The sequence below is a fragment of the Homo sapiens genome, chromosome 2, assembly GCF_000001405.40.
Source record: "Homo sapiens chromosome 2, GRCh38.p14 Primary Assembly".
NCBI classification, from domain to species: domain Eukaryota; kingdom Metazoa; phylum Chordata; class Mammalia; order Primates; family Hominidae; genus Homo; species Homo sapiens.
The window spans coordinates 133,928,733-133,942,525 of record NC_000002.12 but is presented as its reverse complement, the minus strand read 5'-3'; the positions used below and the strand labels follow the sequence as shown (position 1 = coordinate 133,942,525).

The following is a 13,793-nucleotide window of genomic DNA, read 5'->3' as shown; positions in this document are numbered from 1 at the left end:
GTCTGCTGAGCATTGACTGCCTTATCTTCTGTTACCAGTATTCTGATTCTGTGGGGAAGAAAATACCACTCTCAGTCTACATGATTGGGGTGGGACTGATCCCAATCCTGCTTCCAGAAGGGGGCAGGTAACCCATGGATGGGCGATTACAGTGCTTTATCCCCTGGTCCCAAGGCTTGGTTTAGGATGGACATATGACCCAATCCAGGCCAGACATAGCCATTGAGACTTGGTTCTAGGACTTCTATTTGAGGAGTGAGAAAAGGCCTGTTATGCTCCATTGGGGTTGGTGCTACAGGTAGCTTTCTTATGATCACAGGGGAGTGCCTGTCCATGAATGGAGACCACATAGAGGATAGGAGGAGAGAGAGAGAGAGAGAGAGAGACAGTGAGAGAGACACACACACACACACACACACACACACACACACACACACACAGAGAGTCAGAGAGAGAGACAGGAGTTTCATGGTCAATACATTTTTTGTCATTCTTCCTTTTGTTTAATTAAGTTTAAGCTGGGTTTTTGTAATTTGCAGCTCAAAGAATCTTGACTATATGCTGGAGCACAGTCTGCCATGGGCCCTGCACATTTTTGCAGGATATGCCAAGAATTCAAGGCCATGCATCTCTTTCCTAAGACCTTTCTCAGAATCGTGTTTGCAGGGAGCAATGTTGCAGGATGAAGTAACCTCTCTCACAAAGAGCAGGCTTGCATCTGCTTCCTATAAAAGCAGTGAGTCTCCTATGTTCAGTGTTCCTTTCTTGCAACACAATCCTTCTTGGGTGCATGCATTCGTCTACACCCCCACTGTGTTGTCCCTGTGGGACTTGGGGGCATGAGGAACAGATACAAACCAACAGCATGTTCATGCTGTTACTGGGCTGTGACTACTAAAGACTTTTGCCTCTGACCGAGGGGTCTTGTGACTTCTGCCAACATTCAAGAAAAATAACAGTCTGGCTTATTAGCTTAAAAAGTAAAGCAAACCCTTAACCCTTCTTGACACTGTATGGCTCCTTCGGGCTTCTGTAGGCTATTGAATGTTGCATAGAAGCTTGGTTAAGAGCACATGCTTGATAGGAAGACAGATGGATTTGAGTCCTGGCTCTACCATTCTCTATCTGATTTTGAGTGAGTTATTTAACCTCTCTGGCCTTCTGGTTTCTCCTCTATGAAATAAAAATAATACTTCCAATTACAAAATACATGTAATGCCCTTGGCTGAGAACCTGGCTCAGAGGAAGTTCAGTAAGTGGTAGCTATATGTAACTGCCTAGTGGTAGCACTTAGCATATGATTTTTAAAAAAATATTTAATCATATTTTCTCATTACAAAAGTAAAAAAAGTCATTGTTGAAAAATTGGGAAATATATGTCAGAAAGATAAGAAAAGTTTTTTAAAAATTATAATTCCACAACCTAGATAACCATTATTATCATTTGGTGAATATCAATATGGAGTGTGTGTGTGTGTGTGTGTGTGTGTTTTAAACCAAAGCAGAATCATGTCATATGCACAATTTTATCTGTTTTTTTCTTACTTAATATATCATGACCATCTTTCTAGTTCCTACTTCTTTTGTAGCTTTTTATGAAAACATATTATAAAATAGTTGGTATGTATAACACAATATAAATAGCATAGAAATAATTAAGAATAATAAAATGGACACTTAGGAAGTCACCATGCAACTTATGCAGTAGAAAATTACCATACCTTGGGAGGCTTCCGTGTGACCCTCCCTGATCACATTAGCCCACCTTCTTCACTTACCCTCAGGATACCATGATCCTGAATTTTGTGTTTTTCATTCTCTTACAATTTGTGCAGTTTTACCATGCATACCTGTATTTGTAAAAATTTAGTCTGCTCATTTCAGAACTCAATGTCATGGTATTCTGCTTGCACGTATTTTCTGTGACTTGCTTTTATGCTGGACATATGTTCCTGAGATCCATCTATGTTGATGCATAGAGTTGTAATTTATTCACTTTTGGGGGTGTATGGTATTCTCATGTACACATGTGCCATGATTTAGTCAAGGGTATCTGGAAAAATCACAAAGGAAAAGGATTTGATTGACATCATCTGCCTCCCTTGGCAGGTGCTTCACACTCTGGATGGGGGATGGGTGTCTCACCCTGAACCTAGCTGTTTGCTTTCAGGCAGGCCAATTCCAGGTTTCCCAGCCCCAGGCAAGCTGACCCCAGACAATGCAGGCCCCAGGAGTATCATGGAGGAAGAAAAGAAGGGTTGAGGGCTGGAGGTTATGGGACAGAAGACAGCATGGATGTCTCAGGTAGTTTACAGCTATTTAACTGGGGGAAAATGTAGAAGAGACAGAAACATTCTTCCATCAGGATATATGGCTGGAGATACAGAATTGAAGAGGCTGAGATTACTCTGCATAAGAAAGGGCATGGAAAATGTTAGAAAACTTAACCTGTGTAAGAAAGCTAACACTCTAACCTTACTAAGAGGAGGCTAAGTCAGCATAACCTACATGTAGGACAATTTGGCTAAATCTACAAAAATTAAAAATTCACCTTCCCTTTGATCCAATGATTAAATTTCTAGAAATTTACAGATGTATAAAATCATATATGAACAGTTACTTATTGCAGCAATTTTTATGATAACAAAATAGTAAAACAATTTAAATGTCTATTAATGTGGAAATAGATAAATAAATTATGGCTTATTTATCCAATGGAAAACAATGCAGTGCGTTAAGGAGAAGGAGGCAACTCTATAGATACTAATATGGTACGATCTCCAAGTTTTATTAAATGTAAAAGCAAATTGCAGTGGTGTAAAATGGTGTGTGTGTGTGTGTGTGTGTATGTGTGTGTGAGTTTCTATCTGCTATCTGTATATAGAATATCTCGTTACAGTGGTTACTTCTGGGGATCTGGATAACTGGGGATATAGATGGGAGAAAGATAAATTACTTTTTATGTCTTTAAAATTTTCTTTTTTTTTAAAATTATACTTTAAGTTTTAGGGCACATGTGCACAACGTGCAGGTTTGTTACATATGTATACGTGTGCCATGTTGGTGTGCAGCACCCAGTAGCTCGTCATTTAACATTAGGTATATCTCCAAATGCTATCCCTCCCCTCTCCCCCCACCTGACAACAGGTCCCGGCGTGTGATGTTCCCCTTCCTGTGTCCATGTGTCCTTATCGTTCAATTCCTACCTATGAGTGAGAACATGCGGTGTTTGGTTTTTTGTCCTTGCAACAGTTTGCTGAGAATGGTGGTTTCCAGCTTCATCCATGTCCCTACAAAGGACATGAACTCATCATTTTTTATGGCTGCATAGTATTCCATGGTGTCTATGTGCCACATTTTCTTAATCCAGTCTATCATTGTTGGACATTTGGGTTGGTTCCAAGTCTTTGCTATTGTGAGTAGTGCCGCAATAAACATACATGTGCATGTGTCTTTAAGGCAGCATGATTTATAATCCTTTGGGTATATACCCAGTAATGGGATTGCCGGGTCAAATGGTATTTCTAGTTCTATATCCCTGAGGAATTGCACATATGAAGCTACCAATGAGCCAAAAAATAAGTGAAATAAAAATAAAAATATGTGGAAGGCAGGAGTCAAAGAGCAGAAAGTAGGTAAGTGAAGATGCTGGTATGGAGCTTTGCGGAGAGGCAGGAGGGATTTGTTCTGAGAGGGACGAGTGGGAAATTTGTTGTGAAGAGGACTTTTGAGTTTTGCAGACTATTGGGATGCTGTATAGCCTTTTGCCAGCATCCCTTTTGTCCAAGAAAACCTTTACTCCTTAATGCCACTTTTGAAGCTGGATTCTTTTTCCTTTGTTATGTGTTCCACTCAAAGAGAGGACTAAAGGCAACAGACGCAAGGCTCTTTTTAGGCAAAAGTTGTAATAATAACATAATAGCAAAATAAAGACAATACTAATAAAGAATGGCTACTATTTTAGCATTTACAGTGTGGCAGACATTGACTAAGCATTTTACATATATTATCTCATTTAATCCCCATATAAACTATATAATGTTGGTGGTACTATTCCCATTTTATAGATAAAGAAACTGAGGCACAAAAAGATTAAGTAACACATGTTCAACATTATATAGCTAGTAAGTGATAGTACTGAAATTTGAGCTAATTTGGTTTGCCTTTGAAGATTGTGCTTTTAACACTTCACTATATTCTTTTCCTAAGGAATGAAGAATTTCTTAGGCATAGCAGCATGATCGTGTGCACGTGTGTGCACACACACACAAACACACACATATCTAACTTAAGACTTAACTGTGTACAAATATTTATGGGCCAATTTTCAGGTAGAGCTGAGACAAGAATGTAGAAACATTATAATCTTGTTCACCCAAGAAAAATCTGGAGACATTAGGATTTTAGGCAGGGTAATCATTTGGGGAATATTGGTAAGAAAGATGCCTGCAAACTGACAGGCAAGCAGGTGTTGTTGCCATTGCTATTAGGCCGTTGGGAATTCCCAGAATGGGAGGCTGAGGAAGAAATCAAATAAATAGTTTGCTGACTCCTCTAACTGGCAAAAGTATTTTCAAAACTCCGTGTAGATTACTTACCCTTGAGCGGCCCTGAGAACTTGTGTGATATATTTCAGAGATGACGTGTTAACCCAAAAGCTCTGAAAAATCTCCCTGGAGCTCACATGAGCCAAGCTGCTTCAGCTCCCATTGTGAACGAAATAGTCAGTGTTTTCATAGGAAGACTGACTAGTTCTTCTTTCTTGTCTCTTATCGTTCCAACAAGGCTAATTCCAGTGAGTTTATGAGAACAATTTAAGGCTTATTTTCTCAGCCGCTTTTCCAGAGGGAGCTGAAGTAATGTCAGTTCCTTCATTACTACCTACAGAGGGATAAAGTGCATCTCTGTATTGTTCCCTATATTAAACTGTTGTTTATTTGGACAAGAGAATTTCCAGGCAGATACTTGTATTCCCACCAACACCAACACTTTTCATCTCTAATTTAAAGAGAAAAGACACTCTAGATTTGGGCTTCCAAATAGCATAGCCACTAGCCTATGATGCAGCTGTTAGCATTTGAAATGTGGCTAGTCTGAATTAAGCTGTTCTGTAAGTATACACCACATTTCAATGACTTAATGTGAAAAAAAGGATGTAATATATCCCCAAACTTTTATATTGGTTACATGTTATAATGATAATAGAGGCAGTCCTTGCTTTGCCTGTTGGTGTAGAACCATGAAAATGATCCTGCAAGCTGAAATGATACAAGTGATTTTAATTAACAATGGGTGAAAATTATGATTATTATGCAACCTTTAAAACATTTTTGTCTAAACTTTAAACATTCTTACTGTCAGCCATAAATATACGCAGAAATTTAAAAGTGGTAAAATGAACCTATTTAGTACACAGTAATTTCAAATAATGGAAACATCGAGAGTTAAAGTACTTCTTTTCTTCTTTGTGAGTAGTTTGAACAGTGCTTCCTTCTTCTTGTCCTATAACTTGTATTGTGGAGAGAGCATCTTTTCTAAGCTTTGCCAAATTGTCATATTACTTCCTAAGATCAGCTTCCAACATTTTCTCCTTGCTTTCCCAATGTTGTGAAATCCGAGAGTTTCTTCAATGAGAAGTTTTGTTTCGTTTTTTGGGTTTTTTGTTGGGACAGGGCCTCACTCTGTCATCCAGGCTGGAGTGCAGTGGCTCGATCATGACTCACTGCAGCCTCAAACTCCCTGGCTCAAAAGATTGTTCCCTGACCTCAGCCACCCTGGTAGCTGGGACTACAGGTGCACACAACCATGCCAAAATAATTTTTGTATTTTTTATAGAGATAGGGTTTTGCCATGTCACCTAGGCTGGTCTTGAATTCCTGGACTCAAGCAATCTGCCTGCATCGGCCTCCCAAAGTGCTGAGATCATAAGCATGAGCCACAGCTCCTGACCCAATATAAGTTTTTTGCTGGTGTCCCTTCCTCTGGGTTATCATTGTTTCTGGGACAGTATCGTTTTTGGGACAGTCATGTTCCACATTTATGTCCATGCATTTGCCTTCACTAAGTTCCTCTGGCTGCGTGTCTTGAGACTCTCGAACAGCAGTAGTGTCAACAATCCCTACAGTGATCCATCTTCTGATCACGCCTACATTCACTTCCAACAATATCACTTTTTGTTTCTTTGCTGCACTTCCATCTTTGTTGGCCATTCCCTCCTTAGATTATTCATTTCTGTAAAATGTCACGTGAGTTTACCACTGGGAGACAAGGAATCAACACAACTCCATGCATGCTTCACTGTCTGCGCCTGGACTGAATAACAGATGCATAGTGACCAATCGCTGATAGACTTCAAAAGAAATGGCATGACTGGTCACTGCTATTGATGCACACGTGTTGTTTACGTAGTGATTTGTGGACTGAAAGTCTAGCAGCAAAGTTTTTACTTTATGCAATAAAGTAAAACTGTATATTAACTGTATGCAATAAAGTACAGTTAAGCATAATGTACAGTTAATATACCAGAGTTAATATACCACAGTAACTGAAATTTGAACCATGTTGTTGGAAGATTAGTGTTATTTAATTAAGTGGTGGTAACTGGAATTTATGCATATTGGAACCATGCAAAGCAAAGTATGCCTGTATTTTTGGATACTGGGTTAAAGTATATAATTAAAATTATTTGTACCTGTTTCTTTTTACTTTTTGAATTAACTAATAGAAAAATTTAAATCACATTTGTGGCTCACACTATATCCCTACTGGACAGTCCTGCTCTGTACCATACATTAACCAAAATTTAGGAGAAGAAAATAAAGAAATATACAGTTGAAAAAGAATGAAACATTGTTAGAGTTTTAAGTAGCCGGCAACAAAGTAAGAGATTCCAATCTTCACAAATTGAACATGATTGTATGGTGAAAAACAGTAAAGCTAAAATTAAAAAGATAATAGATTGGGAAAACATTTGCATCATATATGTAAGCCAAAGACAAATTGCCGATATTATGAAATTATTCATTCAAACTCATTCCAAAATTATCAACATCCCAGTAGATTGTTAAACAGATGAATAGGCAATTTATATGAGAGAAAATTGAAATAGCAAATGAATACCTAGAAAAATGTTTATCTTGTCTAGTTATCAAAGGCATGGAAATTACTGTTAACTTTGAGTTACAATTTACTATCCACTCTATTAATAAAACAATTACAACCCTCTACACTGTGGGAAATTTGGTGATTTCATGCACCATGACTGACATTGTAATTAGATACAATACTTTTGTTAGCAATATTGTATAAATAGGAAAAGACAAAAAGACATTTTTAACCCTTGGACCTAGTAATGCCACTCCTGAGAATTTAAGACAATGAATTAATTCAACAGGGACAAAAAGTTATATATACAGTAAGATGTATATTGTGTAATTTCTTATAATAGCAAAAAAAAAAAAAGAAAAAGAAAAATTAAGGACATTCTAAATGTCTGATATAGAACACTACATCCAACAATGACAAAATGCATTGTGTTTTCCAAATGCTTATGGAAGGTTTACTAGAGTTTAGCACATGCTGTGTCATAAAGCAAGCTGAAATATATTTCAAAGGAGTGAAATCATTTAGAATATGCTCTTTGAGCACAGTAGAATTATGCTAGAAATCTGTAACAAAAGCTAACCAGAAAATCACCAACTGCTTTAAAAGTAAGCTATTAAATTACAAATAACTCATGAATCAAAGAAGGAAACACAATAAAAATTAGAAGATATTTTGAACTAAATGATAGTGGAGACATGGCATATCAAAACATGTAGAAAACAGATAAATGATGCTCAAGGAAATAACTGCCAACCTAGAGTTCTATAATAATAAAAATATTTTTCAAATAGGATGGTGAAATAAATATATCATCAGATTAGCAAAAACTAGGAGAATTCCTGCAATGCCTAGAGGAAAATTTATATTCTCAAATGTATATATTAGAAAAGAATTAAATGCTACATATCAATAATTCAAGTTTTCACCTCAAAACGAAACATAATTTTAAATATCACCACACACAAAAAATTAGTCCAAAGAAAGTAGTAGGAAGTTAATAGTAAAAATAAAAGCAGAAAAAAGATAAGTAGAAAACAAATATTAATGCAATAAAGAAAAAAACCTAATTTCTTGAAAAAGACACATTAAATTGATAAAACTATGACAAGACTGATGTAAAAAAGAGAGCAAATTACCAATTCCAGTAACAAATAAGGAGACATTAGTATAGATGCTATAGACATTTAAAAGAGAAAAAGATATCACAAATAATGTTATGCCAATTTCAGTGAATGAAATTCCTTGAAAAACATAGCTTACCAAAATTGACACAATAAGAAAGAGCAATTAGAGTATTATATGTCTACTAAAGAATTTAAATGTTTTATTTAAAGCCTCTGTGCAAAGTATACTCCTGGTCTGGGTGGTTTCTTTGGTGATTTGTAGCAAATATTAAAGCAAGTGATAACTCCAATTTTTATATACTCTTCCAGAATATAAAACAGACGGTAGCCTTCCTAGACTTTCTATAGGACCAGCATAATCTTGATAGGTAAATTACTTAAGGAAATTGTAAGAAAGGAAAATTACAGACAAATTTGTAGCATGAATTATATATATGTAAATTCTAAATAATATATTAGCAAATAGAATTCTTTGATATGTAAATGGAGAAGGTATCACAATAAAATGAAGTTTATTTCAGAAATGCTAATGATGATTTATTATGAATAAACAATATAGTTCACCATATTTGCAGAAAAGTGGAGATAAATAAAATTTTCTTAATGATTACAAAAACACATTTGATAAAACACAATATTAATTCATGATAAAAACTCTTAGCAAACCAGGAAGTCAATTTGATGGTGAATTATTGAAAACTTTCTTCCTATGCTTAGGAGCGTGATATGGATACTTGCTACTTCTATTAAAAGAAAAATGGAAGTCTTAACCAAGGCAATAAGGCTATAAAAAGAAATTTTGAAAAGACAGTTTGGAAAAGGGTGAAATAAAACTGTCACTCTTCATGGACAACATAATTGTACATAGAAAATCTAAAATAGAATCTAGAGACAACTACTAGAATTTATAAGTAAATTTGGCATGGTTGTTGGATCCAAGATCAATGTATGAAATCAATTGCATTTTTATATATTGGCAACAAAAATGCAAATAAAATTAAAATTAAAATTAAAAAGATATGATTTACATTAGCATAAAAACTTTCAAATCTAGAAATGTATTTAATGATAGACATTTAAGACCTTTACACTGAAAACTATAAAACTTTGCCAAGAGAAATTTTAGGAGCCTAAATATAGAGAGATTCCACCCCCCCCATTTTTGTGGTTTAGAATTAAAATGGTCAGGATGTAAATTGTCTCCAAACTAATCTTTAGATTAAACACAATCCTGATTAAAATCTCAGCAGGTTTTGTGTAGAAATTGACAAGCTGATTCTAAAATTCATATAAGAATGCAAACGGCAAAACATAGTCAAGGAGATTATTTATAAAAAGAAAGATTATTTTGAGGACTTACACTCTCAGATATTGAGACATATCACAAAGCTATTGAAATTAAGAGAGATTGAAGTTTGCATAACAATAGATAAAAAGACCAGTGGAACAGAACAGAGAGTCCACATCTCTATAGTTATCTGATATTTTACAAAAGTGATACTGCTGTATAGGGTAGAAAGGATGACCTTTTTAACAAATGGTGCTGTTATTTGGATATCCACATGGGAAAAATGAATCTTTATCTTACACAAGTCAATTCCAGTCAGATTGTAGATCTATAGGCAAAAGTTAAACAAATAAATGCTTTTAGGAAAAAAAAAACCCACAGAAGATATATTTATTATCTCAGGTAGACAAAATTTTCTTAATTCGGATATAAAATGTACTAGTTATAAAATGTTCACTTGGACTACATTAAAGTTAGAAATTTCCTATTCATTAAAAGACACCATTAGAGTGAAAACATAAGCCACACAATATTGAGTATATTGTTAATAAATATAAAAAGACTCATATCCAGAATATATAAAGAACTGAAAATCATTGAGAAAAATTAAATAATGCAATATAAAAATAGGCAAATGACTTAAATAGTCATTTCATGAAAGAGGATATCCAAATGGTCAATAAATGTGAGAGCATGTTTAACCTCATCATCAAGGAATGTAGATTGAAATCACAATATGACACTACTACTCATTCATTGGAATAGCCAAACAAAGAAGATGGATAATACAAAATATCAGTGAGGGTATGGAACAAGTGAACTGTCATTCATTGCCAGCAGGAGTGTACATTGGTACAACCACTTTGAAAAAATGTTTGGAAGACTCGACTAGCCATATACGTATCCTATGAGGCAGCAATTGCACTCCTGGCTATATACCCAATAGAAATGCATGCACAGTGCACCCAAAATATACAAGAATGTTCATTGTATTATCTGAAATAGTTCCAAACTGGAACAACATGTGTTCATCAACAAAAAATGAATACATGAACTTTGGCATATTTATACAATAAATACTATAAAGTAGTTAAAAAAAATGAACCATTGCTACATGCAACAAAGGGTAAGTTTTCAGATGTTAATGTTGAGTTAAATAAGCCTGACACATATGACTTTATACTGTATGATTATGTTTATATTAAGCACAAAAATGTAGGCAAAACCAGTCTTTGTTTATGGAAGTCAACGTAATGGCTAACTTTGGGTGGGTACGGTGATTGAGGTGGGTTGCTGGTAATGTTTTGTCATTCATCTAAGTGGCTGTTTATAAACTTTGTAAAAACTCATCAAGCTTTATTAAGTTTTGTGCACCTTTTGCATGAATGTTATATTTCATAAGAAAGTTTATAAAGCAGAATATGAACAGGGAAATGTGTGTGTGTGTGTGTGTGTGTGTGTGTGTGTGTGTGTGTGATGTGTTCAGTGGTCAGGATTGCTGACTGTTTCTGCACACTTTAGAAAAAGGAGAGGCATAGGAGAGAAACAATTGAGCCCAATCGAGTTGAAAGTGAGGAAACCTACATAGGATTCATGAAGATGGATAGTCTGCCATGTGTTCTGTGATTTATAGCTCATAAAGGACTTCTCTGTACATTAACTCAATTCCTCTTCACAACAACCTTTTGATGTAAAAATTAATTATTATCTCCATTTTGCCTTTCAGAAAACTGAGACAGATATTGGGTGATATTTATTTTCTTTTCTTTTCTCTTTTCTTCTTTTCTTTTTTTTTGAGATGGAGTCTCGCTCTGTCGCCCAGGCTAGACTGCAATGGCACGACCTTGGCTCACTGCAGCCTCTGCCTCCCGGGTTCAAGCGATTCTCCTGCCTCAACCTCCTGAGTAGCTGAGATTATAAGCATGCGCCACCACGCCCGGCTAATTTTTGTATTTTTAGTAGAGACGGGGTTTCACCATGGGTGATGTTTCTAAGGAAGCAAAACCATGAAGTGTAGAGCCACCATGCTCTTTTCACTACACTGCTGTTAGAAAACTAGACATTTGGATGGAAGAATATGCTGTGGTCTGAAGGTTTGTGTCCCTCCAAAATTCATGTTGAAACTTAAACTCCATTGTGGTAGGTTTTTTTTTTTTTTTTTTTTTGTGACGAAGTGTCACTCGGTTGCCCAAGCTGGAGTGCAGTGGTGCGATCTTGGCTCACTGCAACCTACAGGCATGTACCATTGTGCCTGGCTAATTTTTGTATTTTTAGTAGAGACGGGGTTTCACTATGTTGTCCAGGCTGGTCTTGAACTCCTGACTTCGTGATCCGTCTGCCTCGGCCTCCCAAAGTGTGGGGATTACAGGTGTGAGCCACCGCACCTGGCCTGTGGTAGTTTTAGGAGGTGAAGCCTTTTGGGAAGTGACTAAGTAATGCGGCCTCCACCCACATAGATGAGATTAGTGTCCTTATAAAAGAGGCTTTGGAGAGCTGCCTGGCCCTTCATTCCTTCCACCATATGAGGACACAGCATTTGTCCCTTCCAGAAGATGCAGCAACATGGTGCCATCTTGGAAACAGAGAGTGAACCCTCACCAGGCACATGGGTCTTGGACTTCCCAGGCCCCAGAACTGTGAGAAATCGATTTCTATTATTTATATATTTCCCAGTGTAAAGTATTTCATTATGACAACAGGAATGGACCAAAACAGAATATGCTATATGCTATTTGGAATAAATTATTCCTCACAACTTTTCTATGAAATTGGCATTATCATCCTCAGTTTGCAGATGTGGTTCAGGAATACCTAATAACCTATGAACATACAATCTAGTAAGTGGCCAAGGCAGTATCTCAACATGTATCTGTCTCACTCTAAAGCTCATCTCTTTCTCTCAAATGTAGCTGCTAGCTGCTTGTGTGTGGTATAAATGATTCAGCTGCAAGAGCTCAGACAGCAGAAAGATCACTGCAGGGTGGGTCAGGGAGCCTTCGTGGAGGTGAAGGTACCCTTTGGGATAGATTTAATTAATAAATGAATTAATTAATTTTTTCTCAACTTTTATTTCCTATTCAGGGAGTACATGCACAGATTTGTTACCTTGGTATATCACATGATGCTTAGGTTTGGGGGTACAAATGATTCCATCACCCAGGTACTGAGCATAGTACCCAATGATTAGTTTTTCAACCCTTGACCCCCTTATTCTCTCCCTCCTCTAGGAGTCCCCAGTTTCTATTGTTGCCATCTTTATATCCATGGGTACCCAATATTTAGCTCCCATTTATGAGTGAGAACGTGCAGTACTTGGTTTTCTGTTTCTGCATTAATTCACTTAGGATAATGGCCTCCAGCTACATCCATGTTGCTGCAAAGAACATAATTTCATTCTTTTTATGGCTGCATAGTAGTCCGTAGTGTATATGTACCACATTTTCTTTACCCAGTCCACCACTGATGGGTTGATTCCATGTGTTTGCTATTGTGAAAGTGCTGCAATGAACATGTGAGTGCATGTGTCTTTTTGGTAGAAAGGCTTGTTTTCTTTTGGATATATACCCAATAATGGTTTTGCTGGGTCAAATGGTAATTCTGTTTTAACTTCTTTGAGAAATGAGATGGGATTAAATAGGAGACCAAGATGTGGAAAGAACTCTGAGTTTGGGGGGAATGGAGGAGATCAAGAAAGTGTTGGAAGGCTCATTGGTCAGTGAGCAGCTTTGTTTGGCTGAAGTACAGGGTTTTTTAAGTTCCAAGAAGTCAGAGACTGTTTTGTGAATTGACTTATCCCCAATGCTCAACACAAATTAAATGCTCCAGATAAATGAATAAACTGATTGGTTAGCATCAAAATTTGTGCACTTTTTAGAAACGTAACAGTTTATGGATGGCATCGTTCATTCAGTCCCCTGGTAACACAATGAGGTTTAATTTGACACACTAGTTAAAAAACTGAAAAGTACCTAGAAAACGAGATGGTACCAGCTAAGCCAGTTGAGAAAATATTCAGGAAAATCAGAGTGTTCCAAGTGTGACTGCTTTTGAGTCCTAAAGGTATCTGAAGGCACAGGGTGAAAATGGCTTAGATGAGTGCCTATCCTGGGGCCAGCATCTGCAGATCGTACTGAGAGTGCCTGCCCAACTCCTTTCATTTGGGACTTTTGAGCCTTTGTCCTTGCTGTCGGACTGGTGCTTTTGGGAAACTTCTCTATAAGCTCTGTTTTCACAAGAAAAATAATTTGTTGGGATAATGATCTACACAATGTGACAGT

At 36.5% G+C, this 13,793-nt stretch overlaps 1 long non-coding RNA gene across 1 annotated transcript in view; it reads left to right on the top strand.

Annotated features, from left to right (window-relative positions):
• Nucleotides 1-13,793, top strand: part of LOC105373627 (uncharacterized) — a 65,027-nt gene that overhangs the window by 43,635 nt on the left and 7,599 nt on the right. The gene's annotated exons all lie outside the window — the stretch shown is intronic.